The sequence below is a fragment of the Homo sapiens genome, chromosome 17, assembly GCF_000001405.40.
Source record: "Homo sapiens chromosome 17, GRCh38.p14 Primary Assembly".
Lineage (NCBI taxonomy): Eukaryota > Metazoa > Chordata > Mammalia > Primates > Hominidae > Homo > Homo sapiens.
In genome coordinates, this window is record NC_000017.11 from 75,357,035 (window position 1) to 75,381,658 (window position 24,624).

A 24,624-nucleotide genomic window follows, 5' to 3' on the forward strand; every position below is an offset into this window, starting at 1 on the left:
CATCATTCTGATCCAGCCCTATCATTATCTCTGCCTTGGATTACTGCAGTGGCTTCCTAATCCGTCTCACTGCTTTCACTTTGCCACCATCAGAATCTTCTGAATCCTGCAACCAGAATTAGCATCATTAAAATGTAAGGCAGAAATGTTTGAGGGTTTTTCTTTTTAATTTTTATTTCTCACTCTACACTGATGTAGTTAAGTCAGAAATGTCACAGCCAAGAGGAGTCTAGAGAGATATGATGACTAGGTATAATGTGGTGTCCTGGATGGGACCGTAGAACAGAGAAGGACACTGGGAAAAACTAAGGAAATACTGAATCAAGTATGAACTTTAGTTAATAATAACGTATCAATATTGGCTCATTAATAGTAAATACGCCATAATAATGTTAGTAATAGGTGAAAGTGAATGTGGGGCATATGATAACTCTTTGTACAACTTCTCTATCAATCTAAAATTGTTCTTTGAAAAAATAAAGTTGTCTTCTTTTAAAGTTGGACTGTCAGGTCATTTGGCTTAAAATCCTTCAATGGCCCAAATATTCCATTCCTCAAACATCTGGTGCTCCCTGACGGTCTATTCATGCTTAAAACTGAGGCAGGCCAGGAGCAGTGGTGCACGTCTGTAATCCTAGCACTTTGGGAGGCCGAGGAGAGTAAATCACCTGACGTCACAAGTTCGAGACCAGCGTGGCCAACATGGTGAAACTTTGTCTCTACTAAAAATACAAAAATTAGCTGGGCGTGGTGGCAGGCGCCTGTAATCCCAGCTACTGGGGAGGCTGAGGCAGGAGAACCGCTTGAATCTGGGCAGCAGAGGTTGTAGAGAGCCAAGATCGCGCCACTGCACTCCTGCCTAGGCGACACAGTGAGACTTTGTCTCAAAAAAAACAAAAAACAAAAAACAAAAATTAGCTGGGCGTGGTGGCGCGTGCCTGTAGTCCCAGCTACTCAGGAGGCTGAGGCAAGACAATCGCTTGAACCCGGGAGGTGGAGGTTGCAGACGACATGCATGAGCCACCAACCACCATGTCTAGCCTGAAATTACCATTGATGTAATCTAAATGATGGTCTTTGCTATGTTAGTCAAAGGTGAGCTCTCTGGAATTGATTTTTTTAATCCTTTAACCTAATTATTAGGTTCACTGCCCACACAAGTATAGAGGAAGAAAATAGCTAAGTAAATAAATATTTAAACCAAAAATGTGGCCACAAGCCCTGTTAAAATTATTCCAAATTGCATTTTACCTAAATTGTTAGAAAAGAATTCAAATATTTAACATTTTGACTAGAGTTTTAAAACTCCAATTCATGTTACTAAATATCTCCTACACTATGGGTGGAGTGTGTTTTTGTCTGTTTTAAATTCCAATTTAAGTTGCATTCTAGCCTCTTTCCATTATTTATCTGTGGCATGCTCATTCCCCATTACCTTTGAGTGTTTGCTGAGTGGTTAGCTCTGTATATTCATGGCATTATCCTAAAACGGAGAAACATGTTAACACTGACAGAGCTGTCATTAAGATCATTAAGAGTAACAGACAGGGCCAGCCGCGGTTGGGCATGCCTGTAATCCCAGCACTTTGGGAGGCTGAGGCAGGCGGATCACGAGGTCAGGAGATCAAGACCATCCTGGCCAACATGGCGAAATCCCATCTCTACTAAAAAAAAAAAAAAAAAAAAAAAAAACAAAAAATTAGCTGGGTATGGTGGCACATACCTGTAAATCCCAGCTACTCAGGAGGCTGAGGCATGAGAATCACCTGAACCCAGGAGGCAGAGGTTGCAGTGAGCTGAGATTGTGCCACTGCACTCCAGCATGGCGACAGGGCAAGACTCTGTCTCAAAAAAAAAAAAAAAATTATATATATATATATAAATATATATATATATAAAATAGGCCAGTGGCCCACACCTGTAATCCCAGCACTTTGGGAGGCTGAGGTGGGTGTATTACCTGAGGTCAGGAATTCAAGACCAGCTTCACCAACATAGTGAAATTCTGTCTCTATTTAAAAAACGCAAAAATTAGCTCGGTGTGGTGGCACACGCCTGTAATCCCAGCTACTTGGGAGGCTGAGGCAGGAGAATCCCTTAAACCCAGGAGGGTTTGAGACTACATCTCAAAAAAAAAAAAAAAAAAAAAAAAGAGGAATAATAGACAATACAACTTTGGTTAAATTGTCTCCAAATAGCTGATGGCTCATACATGTGATCTAGCACATTGGGAGGCCAAGGCAGGAGGACTGCTTGAAGCCAAGGGCTCAAGACCAGCCTAGGCAACAAAAGTGAGACCCATGTCTACAAAAAATACAAAAATCAGCCAGGCACGGTGACACATGCCCATAATCCTAGCTACTTGGGAGGCTGAGGCAGGAGGATCACCTGAGTCCAGGAGTTCGAGGTTGCAGCGAGCTATGATCATGCCACTGCACTCCAGCCTGGGTGACAGAGTGAGGCATTGTCTCAAAATAATAATAATAATAAATAATAATAATAATTTCAGATTGGTGTGAGTAAGCACAGCACTGAACACAAAGCTCTCCATGGCCCAGACCTTGCCTAACTCCCCAATCTCCACCTGCCAGTCCCTGTCATCTCCTGCCTTCCTGCCTTGAACTCCAAGTTTCAACAACACTAAAGCTACCTGCGGTTTCCCAACTGCCAGAATGTTTTATGATTTTCACACTTGTATATGTTGTTCTCTCTGCCTAAAATGGCAAACTCAAGACCTAATTTAAGAATCACTTTCTTCCCACCACTGAACCATGTATACCTGTCTCAATATACTCTTTTCTCTACTAAATTGAACTACTTGTGGGTAGTAGCCTCGGCTATTAATCTTGGTATATACTCAAGGGCATTCAATAAGTGTTTGACTTGTCTTGGAAAGATAAATGTTGTTGGAAAAAGTGGTGTGTTACAAAGTTCTTTCTGTCTTAAAAAAAAAAAAAAAAAGACAGACTGGGCATGGTGGCTCATGCCTGTAATCTCAGAAATTTAGAAGGCTGAGGTGGGAGGATTGCTTGAGGCCAGGGGTTAGAGACCAGCCTGGGCAACATGGCGAGACCTTGTCTCTAATATACTTAAACAGTCAAATTAAAAAGAAATCATAAACGATCTCCCAAATGTAAACAAGGAAATGTGATTATGATTTTTTACTCTGTTTTATTTTTATTCACAATAAACAAATGCATCAATAACTTAAATCTCAAAAATATGTTTTCAACAGATTACAAGTTTAGTCCTCCCATTACTATCTTAGAAACATAATTCTGGACAACAGGAACTAGTTTTCTGTGTCTGGAACAATTCCTGGTAATTTTAAGCCCTTCACACACAAAAATCAAAGGACCAGATGGGATTTTAGAGTATTTTCCAATCCATATTCCTATCATAAAGCCTAGTAACTGAAGTCACAAATACAAGCAAGGTAATTATCTGATTTTAGAAGGCTTCCACAGAATTCACAGAAATGTAATCCCCTACTGATTCAACTGAGGTCAAACTCAACACTAGTTCACACAGGACAGCAAAACACCATCATTACCACTTGTGTCTGTACAGTAAGGAGTGACCTAATACAAAAGCAAGGTTTGTGGGGCAAAAAGGACACACAGGGACCTTGTGGCATGGGCCCAGCTGCTCCTGCTCACCTTGCTCTCTGCCCACTTGGCTTCTCTGGGCCTCAGATAAATCCCCTTATAAAATAAGAGTCCTATGATGCTATGTTCTTTTTCACTTTAAACTTTTTTCAATTTTTTCTGAGACAGGGTTCTTGCTCTTTCACCCAGGCTGGAGTGCAGTGGCGTGAACACAGCTCACTACAGCCTTGAACTCCCACCTCAGCTTCTGGAGCAGTCAGGACTACAGGCATGTGCTGCCACGCCCAGCTAATTTTAATTTTTTTTTTGGTAGAGATGGGGTCTTGCTCTATTGAACAGGGCTGGTCTCAAACTCCTGGCCTCAAGCGATCCTCCCACCTTAGCCTCCCAAGTGCTGGGATTTCAGGCATCAGCCACTATGCCTGACCTAAAGTCAAACTTTTAAAAGGTACAATATATTGTGTACCTGTTACACTTCCTTCCTGTATTAAAGGCAACCCTTCCCAGAGATAGTACTTTTATTTTACAGATGAACAAACCAGAGCTCAAAGAGGTCAGATGTCTTGACCACAAACAGCTAATAAAAAGAAAAAGTGCAATTCAATTCAAATTCCAGTCTGTGTTGTTCTCAAAAACATTTTGCGAACCTGTCTTAAACGAGGACAAGGGAACAAACTAAACTACAGAGTGGCAAAGATCCAAATGCACATCTTTCCTTCAGGCAGTATAAGGACAGAAAAATAGGACAAGATGGTCTCCTATGCTGTGGGAAAGACAGGGAAATCCTCAGAAAAATGGGTCTAAACACTTGACTCCTAAAAATGTCATCATAAATCCTATCGTCTCCTTACCAACTAACTGCGTAATTTATCAGGAAACACTACTTCCTTCATCTATCTAGACTTATCATATTACAAAGGTACCAAGTTATCTACTTGCAAAAATACCAAATATGGTATGAGGGAAATACTCATACACAGAGTCTGAGGAGCCATCCTTAAAAATTATGGAGTGGGGAGACGGTGATGCATGCAGGGCATTAAACTCCCCACCAAACTAGGGGGAAAAAGCTTCCCAATTTACTAAGTTTTAATATCCCTGAAAACATTAGGATTTCATGAGCAAAATATATTACGCTCATTACATGTCCATTACTAACTGAGCAACTCTATTAAAATGAGAGATGAGAGGATTGCTTGAGGCCAGGAGTTCGAGACCAGTCTGTGTCTTTATTAAAAAAAAAAAAGGGATTATTAAAATAATATTCATTTCTTGTCATACTTGGTATTTTTTCAGATTTTTTCCCTCATGTTTAATGCAACCACTAGGCTCTCCAATACAAGGAAAGTATGTAAAGCACTGCTTGTATTCCTGGTTAAGTGTCAGAACCACATACATTGTGCCATAATAATCCTAAGAGTACCCACTGGCATTCCTGAAGCACTTCAGCTAGTGACACCATTCATCACCCTCAGGCCCAGTTTTAGAGATGAGAAAAATAAAGAAGGGCCACTAGCCTCTCCAGGACACAGATACGTAGGTCCTACAGGTCCTCAAAGGGGAGAGCCCCATATCTCAGTCTTTTTATTAATCATCATCACCTCCGCCATGTCTTTGTAGACATTTTTTCCTTAATTACCACTTCTCATGAAATTCTGATACCACAGATGAAAATACACATATATTTATGTACTGTACTGTTTATCTGTGCTTTATGCATGAAGAGTTGAGTTTTGTTTTTTCACCCTCCAAGAACCAAATTTCAATCCTTTGAGGGAAAAATCAAGACCTAGCTCATTCACTCCACCAAATCACTCAGAACACACGTAAGTCAGAAACTATTAACAAGTTGGGAGCCAAAAGATATTTTTTGATGTGTTGGTTTTACCAGTCAGCAATAGATACAAGGGCTTAATAATTTTCACTTTATCCCTGTTCTTAGCATTTTTATTGCTGGGTGTTAAACAGAAACAGAAGTTCTATCTGTTGTAAAGTTTATTCCACTGGCCTCATTAGGTACATGGTTTTTGCCTTACTTTAAAAATTCTAAAACTATACATGCTCCCACCCACAATATCATGCTTTTGTATTCAAAATCTAGCCAACTTGCTCTGCTCCTGTGTGGGTACCTAAGTACAATGGTGTGTGGGCCAATCTTAAAAAGGGCAGAACAGCCCCCCACCTCCAGCCAAGCTCACCCAATTACTAATATGACAAATACTGACAGCCAAATAAAGTACTACAGTTAAATACTAAAGGCTTTCCCATTTTGGGGGTAGAGGAAGGAAGAGGGCTAAGCCTAGGGAATGGAAAGGAAAAAAATTATGACTGCTTGAGGTGGGTAATAAAAGGAGACAGAAGGGAGAGTAAGTGCTCTAGGTGCCCAGCAGAAAGTATAAAACCCTTTTAAAAGCCCAGCAGACAGTTTGTTCTGGACACCATATTTCATAATCTATTCCTGTCACAAAGTATGTGTATCTGTTTGATTTGGGGGAAAGGGAAGGCTATTTTCCATCCCATAGATCTCCTGGTTTCTAATTTTAAGAGCCAAGAGTCCCATTCTCAAAGATAGGGTAGCACCTCACCTAAACTATCTTCTTTGGTCAATGTGTGCCCTGTACCCACTCATAAATAAGGAACTGCCAGGTCACAGGTCACCTCTAAAATCAGTTACAGAGGATAGGCTACTTTTACTTCCACACAGTCTCATTTCATTTTCTGCTTCTAAACTTTCTCCATGGAGTATCTTTTCTACTCTGGAAAGCTATGTGGATTGTGGTGAGGAGAGTGATAGATACACTGTCTATTATTTCAGGAAACCAAAAGTACAACAAATGCAAGGAATGTTATACTCTATTTACAAAATGCTTTACTAAGTCTCACGCTTATTAAATCACAACTCTGAATTTTTGCTGAGCTTAAGAGCAAACTAGCGGGCCGGGCATGGTGGCTCACGCCTGTAATCCCAGCACTTTGGGAGGCCGAGGAGGGTGGATCACCAAGTCAAGAGATCGAGACCATCCTGGCCAACATGGCGAAACCCCATCTCTACTAAAAATACAAAAAAATTAGCCGGGCATGGTAGCAGGTGCCTGTAGTCCCAGCTACTCGGGAGGCTGAGGCAGGAGAATGGCGTGAACCCGGGAGGTGGAGATTGCAGCAAGCGGAGATCGCCCCACTGCACTCCAGCCTGGGCGACAGAGCAAGACTCCGTCTCAAAAAAAAAAAAAAAAAAAAAAAAAAAAAAAAAAAAAAAGTTTGGCATTCCTCAAGGTTTGCTTTTTGATATTGTTCTAACTCTACAGTTTCACTTTAGAAAGAGCCAACCTCTGCACAAACTTCATTGCTGCCTGTATTCTATTTGGATATGCCCAAATCTCTGCAGCCTAAACCAGCATATCTAACAGCCCAATACATCTCTTTCCCTCTATGTCTCACAAGAACCACAAACTTAACCATAACCAAATGGAACTCAGTATGTTCCAAAAAATATTCTATCTCCCATATTACCTTGCCCAATTAATAGTACGCATAGCCACCAAGCTGCCTTGTACATTGCCTCTACTAGTGAACTCAAACCAACTGGGCTTAAATCGCCAGCCCATATCCTTCACAGTAGTGGCTGTGGTTTTATTACATACCTATGTAGACACTCAACATGTTTGAGAAATGAGTTAGTCTCTCCTTTAGCAAACAGCAGCTTACATTTAGTAAAGATTTATTATGTACCAGAATTCATGACAAATTAGGCCATTTCATCTTCACAACTCTGTAAGGTGTATAGGTACTATAACCATTTTACAGATGAAGAATCTAAGGTCCACCCAGAAAAACCAGATACCTTGCCCAAGGAGACAGAGCTTACAAGTGGAAGAGGCAGGATCGGAACCCAGGTCTGACCAATTCCAGAGTCCATGTCTGTAACCACTATGTAAACTTCCCTCCCTGTGTTGTTTTATACCATCTTTAATGGACCCCCAAAGATCATCGTCCATACTATTTCTGACCAGTACGTCCTGTAATCAGTCATCTGACAGGTTTCTATTAGGGTTGTCTATTTTCTGCAGCTGTAGGGGATGGAGGTATTTCAGATTTAAGACTATTATGGACAATGAACTCAGAATAACAGGATTACTCTAAACTGCTTCACAGACAAGTATCTAGTACCCAATCTAATCTCTCCATTCTATCCAAACATAAAAACCCAGCCAAGCAGAAAAAGGCAGTGTTTTGAGGTCCATTTAGGAAAAAAATCTACTAACTACTTATTTACTTAGGTCAATTCTCACAGGGAAAAAGCATCTCTCATTTTTCAGAAGACAGAGCAGTCTGAAAACATCGAAATTGTTTTTATTTGGTAGTTTTGAGCCTAACACCCAAACTTCTAATGGCAGACCATGAAGAGTAAAATCAAACGAATCTTGTACTGGCCACCTTTATTTTTAGGACATTCTCTGGCAGTTCTAGTATCAAATGATTGCTATAATGAGAATATGTGAGCTCCACAAGCTGGCAGGTGTCCGACACCAACCCCACTGCAGCTCCATCTGCTGCCCACCCAGAGGCTTATGTTTACAGTGGGAAAAGTCCATCAAGGGGGCAGAAACGAATGGCTCATCTTACGCTAGATCTCCTACGGTTAACTTTCTCAAAACAAAACAAACAAAAAACAAAACCCCGAAACCTCTAAATTAGAACCATTTAAATCTTCCTGGACAGAACTTTATATCCAAGAAATTCTAAATCCTACTTTAATGAATTCTACTTTGCTATAAATAATGGTACAGAAAAGTCAGCTATTCTTTTACTCAGAATAAATCAGTTTTGCATTTTTAATAAAAGTGAAACACAGAAGACTAGATGGGGACAGGTTATTCTGGTGAGAAGATGACTTAAAAGGTTCACCTTATACAACTGTGGTAGTAATGGATTGCTTGGTTTAACTTGAAAAGGAACATCTGGTACAATCTATACCAAAGCGAAAAAGTTCAAATTAAAGTACAACAAAGAAAAAAGAAAGTACAATGGAACTATGGGGGATAGAAAGAAAATGAGTGAAAGAAAAAAAACCGCCAGTACAATGAGTCATTAAAAGATAAAATAGAAGTGGTTAGAAACAATTAATAACCAGTGGGTGCCCAGGGGTTGCTCAGGAGCACCAAAAAGATGAACAGAATGGCTAGAGGAATGGACTCACACTCAGCATGCCCAACCCAACCCATCAGCTGCCCATGTCTCCCTTCTATTGAAATTGCCCATTTCTACCTGTAGAAATACCATTTTTCACACTATTTCTCCTCTTTCCTCTCTTTCATAGTCGTACCTAATCACATATCAAGTCTTACTCTTCCTTTAAAACACATGTAAACATAACAAGGATGTTTACCTAAGCATTATTTTAATAGCGGGAGGCAGAAAGGAAACACCCTACAATGTCCAGTAGTAGAACAGTTAAATATTTATTTATAGTGCATTCATATAATGAAATACCTTGCAGCCGTTACAAATTTCAGAGCAGAACTTGGAAAAAAAAAATCATGGAGATGCTGAGCTTCAGCCCTGATCAAATCTTATCTGATCTCTATACTACCTTTCAACGTTTCGATTATGTGAGCCAATACACACATAACTCGACTGTGTAGGCTAGTATAACACATTCTGTTAACTGCAAATAACAGTGGCTTAACACAATGGGAAAATGTTTATTTTTCTAAAAGGCAAGTTATATACAGTATGGTCTCTACTTTTAAAATGCCCAGGACAGGAATAGTGGTTCACACCTGTAATCCCAGCACTTTGGGAGGCTGGCACAGGCAATCATTTGAACCCTTGAACACAGGAGTTTGAGATCAGCTTCCAAAAAAAAAAAAAAAACGGCCAGCTGCCGTGGCTCACACTGTAATCTCAGCACTTTGGGAGGCTGAGGCGGGCGGATCACTTGAGCCCAGGAATTCAAAGCCAGCCTGGGCACCTGGGCAACATGGCAAAACCCCATCTCCACAAAAAAACAAACAAAAATTAGCCGGGTGTGGTAGTGCATGCCTGTAGTTTCAGCTACTTGGGAGGCTGACGTGGGAGGATCACCTCTGAGCCCAGGAGGTGGAGGTTGCAGTGAGCCATGATCCCATCACTGCACTCCAGCCTGGGTGTCAGAGTGAGACCCTGGCTCAAAAAACAAGAAAGTAATCCAACAAATTTTTTTTCCCTGAAATAAGCCAATGAAAACGAAAAATACTTCTTAAATCTCTAATAACTAGATCACCAATAAGCTTAAGGTTCCCAGGTAAAATTTCCTGTGATATATACTAACAAAAACTCAAAAAAGAAAAAAAAGGAAAAATACGTGAGGCTTCAGTACATGAGGGTCTTACAATTTAGATGTGGGAATTCTCACTCAAATCTATCATTTATAGGGCCACACTATTCTTACGAGGCACAAATAAAATTAAGGCTTACTATAACCAATTCAGAAAGTCTATGGTAATGGGATCTAGTGTTGTCACAAAGGTTATAATCAGACCCACTGCTCTTTTTTTCCCCCTATTCAGGACAGGGTCTTACTCTGTCACCCAGGCTAAAGTGCTGTAGCGTGATTATGGCTCACTGCAGCCGCGACCTCCCAGACTGAAGCGATCCTCCCACCTCAGCCTCTGGAGTAGTTGAGACTACAGGTGTGCACCACCACACCCAGCTAATTTTTTAAAAAAACTTTTTGTAGAGGTAAGAGTTTTGCTGTGTTGCTCAGGCTGGTCTTGAACTCCTGGGCTCAAGTGATCCTCCCATCTCAGCCTCCCAAAGTGGTGGGATTAGAGGCATGAGCCACTGAGCTGGGCCGTTACCCTCTTTTTAAGGGAGATCATGAGGTAGAAACTGCCTAGAGCAGTAAAGCCTCAGAAGTGACTCATGTTTCTCAAGGTTAAGGCTGCTTCTTGCTGGGAAATATGCATAAAGAAGTTACCTTGTGAGAAATGAGTTCAGCCCTTTATTCTTTACTTGATACAGCAGTGGGCAAAGATTCTAAACTATCCACAGTACTTTTAGTCAAACTTTTTCCTATGGTTTTAGCATTCAGTATCTTCCTTTCTCCAATTAGATAATTCCTAATTTACTCATTTCTGTTAATGACACCAATATTTCCTCGGCCTCAAAGCCCTGGAATCCTCTGGCTAAACAGAATGTCTCATCTAATCATTAAATCCTGTTATTTCTTCTCTTAAAATACTCTTTAGATTTTTTTCGTTGTTTTGGTTTTTTTTTTGAGATGGAGTCTCACTCTGTAACTGAGGCTGGAGTGCAGTGGCACGATGTCGGCTCACTGCAACCCCTGCCTCCCAAGTTCAAGCGATTCTCATGCCTCAGCCTCCCAGGTTCAAACGATTCTCATGCCTCAGCCTCTGGAGCAGCTGGGATTACAGGCACTCGCCACCACGCCTGGCTAATTTTTGTACTTTTTGTAGAGACGGAGTTTTGCCATGTTGGCCAGGCTGGTCTCGAACCCCTGACCTCAAGTGATCCACTCGCCTTGGCCTCCCAAAGTGCTGGGATTAAAGATAAGAGGCACTGTGCTCAGCTGTTTTTTTTTTTTTTTTGAGACAGAGTCTCTCACTCTGTCACCCAGGCTAGAGTGCAGTGATGCGATCTTGGCTCACTGCAAACTCCGCCTCCCATGGTCAAGCGATTATCCTGCCTCAGCCTCCTGAGTAGGTGGGATTACAGGCGCCCCCCACCGTGCTCAGCTAATTTTTGTTTGTGTGAGTGTTCTAAGCAGAGATGGGGTTTCACCAGCTTGGCCAGGCTGATCTCAAACTCTTGACCTCGTGATCCATCCGCCTCAGCCTCCAAAGTGCTGGGATTATAGGCGTGACCCACTGCGTCAGGCGTTTGTTTTTTTTTTTGTTGTTTTTTTTTTTAAAGATAGGATCTTGCTCTGTTACTCAGGCTGGAGTGCAGTGGTGAGATCATAGCTCACTGCAGTCTCAACCTCCCGGCTCAAATGATCCTCCCAGATCCTCCCACCTAAGCCTCCTGAGTAGCAGGGACTACGGGCACATGCAACCATGCCCGGCTCATTTTTTTATTTTTATTTTGTAGAAACGGAGTCTCACTGTGTTGCCCAGGCTGGTCTTGAACTCGGCTCAAATGATTCTCCTGCCTCGGTCTCCCAAAGTGCTGGGATTATAGGTGTGAGCCACTGCACCCAGATAAATATGACTCTTTTCCATTTCCACTAACATACTCCATCAGCTTGCCTGAAACAAAACTGCTTCTCATATACTTGCTGTTTTAAGTGCTTCCATATTTCAGTTAGTTTAATCCTCACAATATCTAATGAGTCAAGGACCATTATTATCCCCATTTTTCCAGTGAGGAAATTGTGACACAAAGAAGTTTAAAAAAAGAACAAAACTTGCCCAACATCATGATCATGGCAAATGGCACAGCCAAAGTTTGAACCCAGATAAGCTGGCTCCAGCCTAGGTCCTCTGTATCTGGCCTCTCCCCTACTTCAATCCACACTACTCAAAGTCATCCTTCTAAAACACAGCTTTGGTATATAAAAAGAACATCTTAGAAATTTAATAATTAATGATTATCCTCATTTTGCATCAACTTACCCCTAGACATTCCTAACCTAGGAGTTCACAATGCGACATATCAAAAGTAACGTATTTAAATGATTTTAAGCTGGAACAGGAGTAGCAGCACAATGTTATAGGAAAATTGAAGGTTTCTTTACACCACAGTCCATGAGCCAAAGATATGAAAATTTAAGAAGGCAAAATATAAGAAGGCATAGTCAACCTTATATTGAGAAAAACTCCCATTTATTCCTTTGCTGCTCTGAGCTCAGCTGTTAGATCAGAATGTGAGACTGAGACAAGGACTCTGGATGGATGGGTATGAGTTGCACTGGTTAAAAACTGTTTCTGGGCCAGGCGCAGTAGCTTACACCTGTAATCCCAGCACTTTGGGAGGCCGAGGCGGGCTGATCACTTGAGGTCAGGGGTTCAAGACCAGTCTGGGCAACATGGTGAAACCGTCTCCACCAAAAAAAAAAAAAAAAAAATTAGCCGGGTGTGGGGGTGCATGCCTGTAGTCCCCAGCTACTCAGGAGGCCGAGACAGGATAATTGCTTGAACCAGAGAGGCAGAGGCTGCAGTGAGCCAAGATCGTGCCACTGCACTCCAGCCTGGGCAACAGAGACTCCGTCTCAAAAAAAAAAAACTGTTTTTGACTATGGCTGATGGTATTTAAGAACTTACTGACTCTGATGCAAATGTACCTACCACTACCAGAAAAACAACTCAAAGCATATATATGTTCCTTTGCTTGAAGGATGGCATTACTTACTCAAAACATGGACCATCACAGTACTAAGAGACAGGGACACTCAATGAATGAATGCTTAAAAGTGATGCTCAGACTGACTCTCGAGGTAATGGCTAAAGCCAGGGCCCATGAGAAATGTAAATTCATTATTTTGTGGATATCATATGGTTAGCTGTTAACAGAGGTCATTGATGCAACGTTCAAGCTCCAAGGCTGCCACTAATATTCATACACCCCAAAAGCTGGCTACTATGGGCAAATTTAAAAAGATATTGGTGCCTTGTTGACTGAAACCCACTATTCCAGGCCTGGAAGAACTGAAATGTCAGTTGATGAAAAAAATTTTCAGAAGTGTGTCAAATCTGTCCGCATGAATTTCAATACGAAGGCTTTCCAAACTCTGACTAAGAGAGAATTTGTACCACTTGTTCCTTCTGACTTCAATATCTTGTTCGGTTTGGATACCTTCCAGGCTGGTACAGCTATGTTTGGCACCACAAAGCATGCCAGCCAGCCCTAGCTGTGTTGCTAATAAGAGGTCAGAACGCGTCCCTGGAAATACAGAGACACAATTAAGACTTCAAACAGCTGTTTGTTAAGCCAAGTGTTCTGGCAAAGCTTGAAAAATAGAAAACCTTCCCCTCAATCCAGCTCACTTTTTTAGCAGCAAAGTAAACTCAAGAGAGCCATCTGATGCGAAGGGACTCTTCTTCCCAGGAGGACTTCAGTCCTCTGCAAAGCTGTTCTTTGGCACTTTCCCTAGGGCTATGGGTTGTGTAAACTATGTAAATTAGAACGAATCTTCACAGTTCCTTCAAACTCTCCCTGTGAGTTTTATTCTTGTTTTTTATACATCCAAAGAATAAAGAACAAATTCAGGTGGGAAAGCCAATGTGTTCGACACCTCCTTTCATAGTTGATCTTTCTTACCCATGTTTGGACAATCTACTAAAATATAATGCCACCACGATGTTGGATGGAACAAATGTCCAAAAACAAAAACTAGTGGAAACTTGGAATGTTTATTGGGCAGTGACTTTAAGAAATAAAAGTGAGGCCAAGTGTGGTGGCCCATGCCTGTAATCCCAGCACTTTGGGAGGCCAAGGTGGGAGGACTGCTTGAGTCCAGGAGTCCGAGACCAGTCTGGGCAACATGGCAAGACCTAATCAATACAAAAATAAAACATAAAAATAAAAAATAACACTGATTAAGTATTCTTTAGATCGTAAGCACAGTAAAGTGTAATTATACTTTACAAAGACTCAAGAAAAAAGTAGTTAAGAAATCTAACCAAGGTGCTGGCAAGGAAAATAAAGGAATAAAAAAAAAAAAATTCAAGGGTTTCTATTTCTGGTCTGTTGCCTAAATAAAGGCAAAAGAGCTGCCGCAACGTAAGAACCAAGCCTGAACTCAGGCAGGACAACATTGAGTGACACAAAGAGGATATCAACTATAGACTCAGTTCACACTGAGTAGGATGAACATGGTGTGAATTTCCTCCCTTCTTGCCTCCAACACATTAAACTATGTTGCTAGGCAACTGTGCAAGATGCTGATAGAGGAACCTACTGTGAAATGGAGTAACAAAAGCACACTGTGGCAAGAGGTACACAATGGTGCTCGGGGCAGCAAAGGGGAACCCGAGGGAAAAGAAGAACACCCAGAAAACCTTCTGGAGATTGGGTCTGTTCTAAGCAACGAGAGGTGGCCAAGGCACGTAAATGCTAAAGGTTACACCACACAAAAGGAACAACATGACTGAAGACCAGAAATACGAGATAGCCCAGTGGTCAGGGAAAACAAGCAACTAACTGAAAATTGACAAAATTTTGTTTAAATATAGAAAGTAAGATCACCCAACCCATTATTTCTGACATTACTGGCAAAAGCGTTGACCAATGGAACACTGTAGAGCTTTCTGGAGGAGGATAGTAAATTATGCAAAACTGTGGTGCAAGTTAACACACAGAATTAAAATGAGTATCTACAATAAGAGTAAGACTTTGCCGAAGATTATTTGCGTAAAACACAGTTCTGAAAAGAAAACACAATAATTATGGTTTTGCTGAATTCAAAGAAATGCTGCCTCTGCTCTCTGGATATGTCTCAGATGCTGCTGTCTGCACATTTAGCTCGAGACCACATTACACATCCAATGACACAAGGCACCCAAATTAAAAGAGAAAGCACTAGACTCAAGAACATCTTACAGGCCACCCCCGAGCAGTGAGCCTAAGAGAACTCTTATTTCCACTAGTGAAGATGCAGAACAAAGTACAACAGGTCCCCAGTATCTATCTGCCTCTGCACAGGCTGGAGGTGGAAAAGGTGAAGAAGGGGTTTGGGAAATAAAGGTTCACAAGGAAAGGGAACAGTGCAGACAGGGAAGGGACTCATGAGAACGGGAACACCTCATCCCAATTCTACTTCTAGTCCACAGCAAAGCAGTTTACTTTCCACTCCCATCCCAATTCTGCCCAAGGGCTTCACCTCCAAAGACCACAATAATCACCAAGAGTTTACAATGTGAAGGGAAGACACGATTTCCTAGCATTTCAAAGTGGAGCACAAAATACTTCAAGCACGAAAACAGTGATTCCAGAAACACTGGTGACATTCTACAGCAGGGTTGTCCAATGATAATTTCTGCATATGTCCTATATCTGTACTGTCCAATACAACAGAGCCATTGGCCACTCACAGCCACTGAAAACTTGAAATATGGCTGCACTGGTGAATTTTTAGCCTAATATAAATTTAAATAGCCATATAAGCTAGATGCTACAGTACTCAACAGTGCAGCTTAGAGTACTATGTAAATATCAGGCACATGGAAGACAAATACTTTGTGGTCTAAACTTAAAACACTATCAATACGCATTCGATGAGAAATAACATCTTCCACAGAAACACCAATTTATAAGCTTTTAAAAAATAATTTGTCACTACAAAGGAACTATCAAAGAGCTAAAAGAACAGATATTTGGCTGGGCGCAGTAACTCATGCCCGTAATCCCAGCACTTTGGGAGGCCGAGGTGGGCGGATCACTTGCGGTCAGGAGTTTGAGACCAGCCTGGCCAACATGGCACAACCAAATCCCCGTCTCTACTAAAAGAACAAAAATTAGCCAGGCGTGGTGGTGGGCACCTGTAATCCCAGCTACTCGGGAGGCTGAAGAAGGAGAATCGGTTGAACCCAGGAGGTGGAGGCTGCAGTGAACCAAGATCATGCCACTGCACTCCAGCCTGGGAGACAGAGAGACTGTCTCAAAAAAGAAAGAAAATCTACTTTCAGAGTATTTCCTTAAGCAAGAGTGAGGCTGGAGGCATGATGTTTGGAGGTACTTATCTATAGCCTTTCACAGAACGTCAAAGAAGTGTCATAAGTATTCTGAAGCTCTTCATATGCCGTGCCGCTATCAATATGGCTCATGTCTACTTTTATAACTCTGCCAAACACATTGAAAGACAATTTAACTTCCAAGTTTAAGTGTTCTAGGACAACTCCAACATCTCTTCAGAGTTGACAGTAAGCTTGGCTAATGTTAGAAACAAAAGTCCCCAGTAAGTCAGCCGTATCTGCATGGACAAAGCAGTCCTGAGTGCTGCTAAATTAACTGAGAAAACTTTTCAACACTCATGTCTTACTAAGTCTGTTTCATTCAGAACATTCCATACACATCTTTAGCAAAGCTCTTAAAACAGGGTATTTATTAAATTTCACATCTTTAATTCTGCTTAGTATCAACCTTAGCACTAAACACAGTACCCTTTGCTTAGGAGATACTCAATAATTTGTTGCTATAATTCATCAAGGTACTGGTATTTTTTTTTTTTTTTTTTTTTTTTTTTGAGACAGAGTCTCGCTCTATCGCCCAGGCACAATCTCGGCTCACTGCAAGCTCCGCTTCCCAGGCTCATGCCATTCTCCTGCCTCAGCCTCCCGAGTAGCTGGGACTACAGGCGCCCGCCACCATGCCCGGCTAATTTTTTTTGCATTTTTAGTAGAGACAGGGTTTCACCGTGTTAGCCAGGATGGTCTCAATCTCCTGACCTCACGATCCGCCCACCTCAGCCTCCCAAAGTGCTGGGATTACAGGAGTGAGCCACCGTGCCCTGCCAGGTACTGATATTCTTAAGAATTTATCAAGGCCAGGCGCAGAGGCTCATGCTTGTAATCCTAGCACTTTGGGAGGCCGAGGCAGGCGGATCATCTGAGGTCAGGAGTTTGAGACCAGCCTGGCCATTATGGTTAAACCGTCTCTACTAAAAATACAAAAATTAGCCAGACGTAGTGGCGGGCGCCTATAATTCCAGCTAGTCAGGAGGCTGAGGCAAGAGAATCGCTGGAACCCGGGAGGCGGAGGTTGCAGTGAGCTGAGATCGCACCACTGCACCCCAGCCTGGGAGACAGAGTAAGACTCCATATCAAAAAAAAAAAAAAAAAAAAAGAATTCCTCAAAATGCTACATTTGGCTGGGCACAGTAGCTGACACCTGTAATCCCAGCATTTTGGGAGGCCAAGGTGGGTGGATCACTTTAGCTCAGGAGTTTGAGATTAGCCTGGCAACATGGAAAAATCCTATTGACACACACACACACTAGCCGAGTGTGGTGGCACATGCCTGTAGTCACACACACACACACACACAAACACACACACTCTAGCCGAGTGTGGTGGCACATGCCTGTAGTCCCAGCTACTCGGGAAGCTGATGTGGGAAGATCGCTGGAGCCCAGGAGATTGAGGCTGCAATGAGCCATGATCAATCACGCCACTGCACTCCCAACCTGGCCAACAGAACAAGACTCTGTCTCAAGAAAAGAAGAAAAAAAAAGCTACTACTATCATGACATTCTCATATAACTCTATATGGCATATACTCTCTGCACGGCATTCAGATTCATGCATTTAAATAATTCTGTTTCTTTTTCTTGAGATAAGGGGTCTCATTCAGTCGCTCAGGTTTATAGTACAGTAGCGAGATCATGGCTCACTGCATCCTCAAACTCCTGAACTCAAGTCATCCTCCTGCCTGAGCCTCCTGAGTAGCTGGGACTGCAGATGTGTGCCACCACGATTGGCTAATTTAAACATTTTTGGTTTTTTTTTTGTAGACGGGGGGGTCTCACTGTGTTGCCCAGGCTGGTCTCAAACTGCTGGCTTTAAGGGCTATTCCTGCCTCAGCCTCCCAAAGTGCTGGGAATACAGATGTGAGCCAGCTAGCCTGATCTACATAATTCTATCACTATACTTCTTATGCCAATCATCACATCACATTCTATGGCTGATCTTTCATGTTCTCAACTGGATACAAATCCACAAAAGCTCACATTATTCTTTCCTGTAATTGCTGATTATGAATTATGATGAATTTCATGGTAGTTAAATCCATTTGAACACAATCTTCAGGAAAAAAAAAAGAGAGAAAGTAATTAACCAATAGATCTAACAACATCTATAGAAGACTCTACCCAACAACAGCAGAATAAAAATCTATCTCAAGCGCACAGGAGAACATTCTCAGGACAAACCAGATGGTAGGCCATAAAACAAGCCCCAATAAATCTGAAAGTATTAAAATCATACAAAGTATGTTCTACAACTACAATGAAAATAGAAATCAGCCGGGCACAGTGGCTCACACCTGTAATCCCAACACTTTGGGAGGCCGAGGCAGGCAGATTAACTGAGGCTAGGAGTTTGAGACCATCTTGGCAAATATGGTGAAACCTCGTCTCTACAAATATACAAAAAGTACTGGGGACTGGCCGGGCGCAGTGGCTCAAGCCTGTAATCCCAACACTTTGGGAGGCAGAGGCAGGTGGATCACGAGGTCAGGAGATCGAGACCATCCTGGCTAACACGGTGAAACCCTGTATCTACTAAAAATACAAAAATTTAGCCGGGCGTGGTGGTGGGCGCCTGTAGTCCCAGCTACTCGGGAGGCTGAGGCAGGAGAATGGCGTGAACCCAGGAGGCAGAGGTTGCAGTGAGCCAAGATTGCGCCACTGCACTCCAGCCTGGGCGACAGAGCAAGACTCCGTCTCAGAAAAAAAAAAAAAAAAAAAAAATTACCGGGGCCTGCATGAGCGCAGTGGCTCACGCCTGTAATCCCAGCACTTTGGGAGGCCAAGGCAGGCGGATTGGCTGAGCTCAGGAGTTTGAGACCAGCCTAGGCAACACGGTTAAACCCCATCTCTATTGAAATACAAGAAATCAGCCAGGCGTGTCGGCATGCGCCTATATAGTCCCAGCTACTTGGGAGGCTGAGGCAGGAGAATTGCTTGAACCTGGGAGGCAGACGTTGCAGTGAGCCGAGATTGTGCCACTGCACTCCAGCCTGGGTGACAGACAGAGACTCTGTCTCAAAAAAAAAAAAAAAAAAAAAAATTTTTTAACCCGACCTGGTGGCATGCTCCTGTAATCCCAGCTACTCAGGAGGCTGAGGCAAGAAAATCTCTTGAATGCGGGAGGTGGAGGCTGCAGTGAGCTGAGACTGCACTGCTGCATTTCAGCCTGGGCAACAGAGGGAGACTCTGTTTCAAAAAAAAAAAAAAAAGATTAGTGAAGCATGAACTTCTACTGATTGTCTTGCACATAGACATTTTTAGCCTGTATAACATAATTTGTAACCAACGATTATAACTTACATATTGTACCATCCAATGAAAAGACAACTCTGGTATGAGGAGGAGTACCCTTCCTTCTTTTAAACTTTCCTAAAAACCTTTCACAGGCCAGGCAAGGTGGCTTACACCTGTAATCTGTAATCCCAGCACTTTGGGAGGCCAAGGTGAGAGGATCCCTTAATCCCAGAAGTTTGAGACAAGCCTGGGCAACATAATGAGACTCCATCCCTACAAAACAAAACAAAACAAACAAACAAACAAAAACTAGTTGGGCATGGTGGTGGATACCTGTAGTTCCAGAGACTAGGGTGGGAGGATCAACTGAGCCTGGAATGTTGGGGCTGTACTGAGCCATGATTGTACCTCTGCACTCCAGCCTGGGTAAGAGAGCCAGACCCTGTCTCAAAAACATAAAGACAGACCTTCATAGCTGGGCCCAGTGACTCACATCTATAATCCGAGCTACTTGGGAGGCTGAGATGGGAGGATCACTCGAGACCAGCCTGGGCAACATAGTGACCCCCCGCTACAAAAAAAAAATATTAAAAGTTACATTTTTAAATATAATACAGGGTGTGGTGGTGCGCATCTGTAGTCCCAGCTACTGAGGAGACTGAGGTGAGATGATCACTTGAGCCCAGGAGTTCGAGGCTGCAATGAACTATGGTGGGGCCACCGTACTCCAGCCTGGGGTGACAGAATGAGACCCCATGTTTATTGCAAACAAAAAGTGGCCAGGCAGAGTGGTTCATGCCTGTAATCCCAACACTTTGGGAGGTCAAGGCAGGAGGACTGCTTGAGGCCATGAGTTCGAGATCAGCCTGGGCAACATGGCGGGATCTTGTTTCTACAAAATACAAAAAGTTAGCTGGGCATGGTGGTGCTCACCTGCTGTCCCAGCTACTCGGGAGGCTGAAGTGGATGAAGTGCTTGAGCCTAGGAAGTTGAGGCTGCACTCCAGCCCAGGCAACAGAGCGAGACCCTGTCTCAGAAAAAAAAAAAAAAAAAAAAAAAAAAAGGCTGGGTGTGGTAGTTCACGCCTGTAATCCCAGTACTTTGGGAGGCTGAGGCAGGTGGATCACTTCAGGTCAAGAGTTAGAGACCAGCCTGGCCAACATGGCAAAACCCTGTCTCTACTAAAAGTACAAAAATTAGCCGGGTATGGTGGCACACGCCTGTAGTCCCAGCTACTAGGGAGGCTGAGGTGGTAGAACTGCTTGAACCCGGGAGGCAGAGGTTGCAGTGAGCCAAGATCATGACACTACACTCTAGCCTGGGCAAGAGAGTAAGACTCTAAAAAAGAAAACAACCCACGAAGAAACAAACAGCAAAACAAAAACATCTTTCACCTTGTGACAGACTTCAGAACAACCCCCAAGTCTGCTGGTGTGTCTTCCCAGGTCGATTCTCATTTGCCAGGCCTTCCAATAAACCTTTATGAAATCATTTCTGCCTCAATAGTCTTAGTTTCAGTTGACAATATAAATCCCAAACCCAGGCCAGGTGCAGTGGCTCACGCCTGTAATTCCAGCACTTTGGGAGGCCGAGGTGGGGGGGAGGATCACCTGCAGTCAGGAGTTCGAGACCAGCCTGACCAACATGGTGAAACACCGTCTCTACTAAAAATACAAAAATGAGCTGAGCGTGGTGGTGGGCAGCTGTAATCCTAGCTACTTGGGAGGCTGAGGCAGGAGAATCACAGGAGGGCGGAGGTTGTAGTGAGCTGAGATCTCGCCACCGCATTTCAGCCTGGGCAACAGAGTGAGACTGTCTCAAAAAACAAACAAACAAACAAACACCCAAACCCAAAAGCAAGTTACACAAGAATAATTTTTCATGTGGTCACCTGAGGATATGCGGGTGAGAGGCATGTCCTTTTTGCCAGGCCTTTAATATCTAACAGGGAAGGGATGAAGTGAGAGAAAAACATATAGAAATTTCACACATGAACGTACAACACTAACAAACTCATAGCTAAATATGAAAATTACTACTAAGAACTTTAAAGGTAACAACTGTTCAGGTGGGTGTAGTTCTAGTACAAGCTTAAACATGGCAGATTGGACAGGCCTCTGAGCAGATACAGTGTGACTTTCTCCAAGTTTACGAACAACTACAGTATTAGTTCTTCTGTACTGGTAACCTAAGTATAGAAGGAGACGAACCAATTAATTAAGGGAAGGCTTGTACGGTCTACCAGTTCTCACTTCTAGCATTAAATGAGGCCATTAGTTACAAATTCACTGGGATATATGACGTGGACTACTTCAGCACAATGTTTTGGAAAATTCACACAAATTTCGGTTCACAATCTATTCTGATTAGCTTTAATATGATTTTGAGAAAAGTCTTAATCATTGTATCTTTTCTAAGAGCCTGGCACAGAAATCCTCTGAGCTACTGCCACTTTCTAAAGAGGTACACTTTAACAGAAATGCCATTCTTCTCTCCAAAGATGAAGTACCTGCTTACTTTCATTATAAAATTTTGAATATGGTTTCATTGTTATGTTTTATGGTACCCAGGAACTGCAATAAAAGTAACTATGGCTATATGCATTAAACGTTTTTTCTGAAAGGTTATAGAAAACCTGAATAGTGATTTTCTTTGGGAAGGTTTGTCATATAAATTTTCTAATGATGAGTGAGACATTTATTTATTTGCTTATTTAATTTCAAAATTGTTATCTGGGCATCAGGAGGGAATTATGACCTAATTTATTTTATGCTTTTTCTATTAAATGATTCTAATAAAAATTTTAAAAGAATTAAATAAAGAAGACACTTGATTTCTTAAAAAAAAAAAAAAGAAAGACAGGGTCACACACTGTCACCCAGGCTGGAGTACAGTGGGGCAAACATAGCTCATTGTAGTCTCCACCTCCTGGGCTCAAGCAGTCTTCCCACCTTAGCGTCCCAAGTAGCTGGAACTACAGGCATGCACCACCACACCTGGTTAATTTTTTTTATTTTTAGTAGAGACAGGGTCTTGCTATGTTGCCCAGGCTGGTCTTGAACTCCTGAGCTCAAGTGGTCCTCCCACTTCAGCCTCCCAAAGTGCTAGGATTACAGGCCACCACACCTGGTCACTTGATTTCTTAATGCATGATAGATAGCTAAAAACCCACTATTAATTTCAGATCTTTGTCTTTTAATTATACTTTTCAAAGCCAAGCATTTTATAAAAGTTGATACATAATAAATAGAATTTTGACTGGAGCTAAAAATGCAGGAAAGCCAAGGAAGGAGAAATGGAAACATGAACCTCTGGAAAACTGCAATTTGTCTCATTAGTAATTTTAATGCAGTGTGGAGACTGACCTAAGTCAAAAGTACGTACATAAGAAAGCATATAACATTACTTTCACATCCCATGTGGGGAAAAGATAACTGAGATATAACTAGAAATCTAGATAGCAAGACCAGTTTTAGCGCCAATTTGTTTATTCGTAGAGAAAACAGCTGAACATGTCATGTTTCTAGTTTATCTTATTAGATTCTACAAAATTTCTATGTAATAGCCTTATACAGGTGGAAGATGATGTACTGCCTACACCAAGAAGAGTTTTAATAGGAAACAAATTTGCTCCATGAAGCTGTGCACAGTGATTTTTTCTTTCCTTATTAGACAGCAAGACGGCCCTAAAATATTTGTTGACCTGCAAACTGACATCTGGAAAACTACTGTAGTGTTTTTGTTTTTTACTGCTTTTTCTGATTACAAAACTAATAGCTTGTAGTAAAAAAAAAAAAAAACTATTATAGAAATGCACCATATAGAAAGTTAAAGTTCTCCATAATCCCTACATCCAGAGAAAACCAACTGTTACCCAACATCACACTCTTCTTTTTTCTTTATATTGCAGTATATGTGAGTAAGGATGTTTCATTAAGTTACAATACTTGTTTCTCAAAAGCTCTCAGCAGAGCCTCCTGGCTTAAAGCTAAACATTTGCAGCATAAACTAAACAAAGACTGGTTTGTCTGTCTTCCCATCTTGTTCCAAGCATGAGTTAAGATGGATGGTCTTCCTCTAGAAAATATTCATTTAGCTCAAAGACAAATTAAATTATGAATACATGCCATATTTCTCTATCATAATCACTTATTAATTTAACCTGACAAAGCTATAAAAAAAGGAAATTAACCACTTAAAAAATAGCACAAAATAAAATGTGCGGCGGAAAAACTGTGTCAAGCATCTTACATGCTGAGGGAAGGATGTTTAATCATCTCAGAAATCTGGTTAACATAGTCCTATAAAACACTGTCAAACTTTGAAATAATGTTCTATTGTTAAAGGAGACTAGAGAATGAAGCAAACATTAGCTGTGCTATTATTATGTATTCTGGTTAGGGATTATGGGCCATTCTCACTTAAGGTCATCTTAAGTAGGTAACCATTTGTTCAGCCATTCAGACAATAGGACAATACATATATCAAAACCTCCCTTGAGATTACGAACTAAATTATTAACAGAAACAAGTGAAATATACAGCAATAGGGAAATAATTAAGTCAATTACAGAACATTAACTTGATATGTTATACAACCACTGAAAATAATTAGTAAAACTAATATGGAAAATGGTAACATTTTAAATTCACTACAATTACAGGATTATAAAAATGTATACATAATGACAATGCTTAAGAGAGATCTGAAATAGTAAAAATACTGGAATAGAGGGACTTATTGACTTTCCTATCTATTAATGTAAGCTAAAGTAATTTAAATGTTACAGTGAAGTGGAAATACTGCTAATAAAATAATCTATTCTTTTTCCCCAGCATTCCTTTTCAAACTCCTTTTCATAGTTATGTATGAAAATAAAGATACGGCTGGGTACAGTGGCTCATCCCAGCACTTTGAGAGGCTGAGGCGGGCAGATCATGAGGTCAGGAGTTCGAGACCAGCCTGGCCAACATAGTGAAACCCTCGTCTCTACTAAAAATAAAAAAAAAATTAGCCAGGCATGGTGGCGGGCACCTGTAATCCCAGCTACTCAGGAGGCTGAGGCAGGAGAATTGCTTGAACCCGGGAGGCAGAGGT

At 41.7% G+C, this 24,624-nt stretch overlaps 1 protein-coding gene across 2 annotated transcripts in view, besides 1 other annotated feature; it reads right to left on the reverse strand.

Moving 5' to 3' along the window:
• Positions 1-24,624, reverse strand: part of GRB2 (growth factor receptor bound protein 2) — an 87,603-nt gene that overhangs the window by 38,959 nt on the left and 24,020 nt on the right. The window lies entirely within an intron of this gene.
• Positions 23,355-24,201: an enhancer, noted in NCBI's record as "OCT4-NANOG-H3K4me1 hESC enhancer chr17:73376470-73377316 (GRCh37/hg19 assembly coordinates)". NCBI's record gives its function as "activates a minimal SCP1, AML or CMV promoter by ChIP-STARR-seq in naive H9 embryonic stem cells {active_cell/tissue: H9 hESC(naive)}" and the evidence as "EXISTENCE:reporter gene assay evidence [ECO:0000049][PMID:30033119]".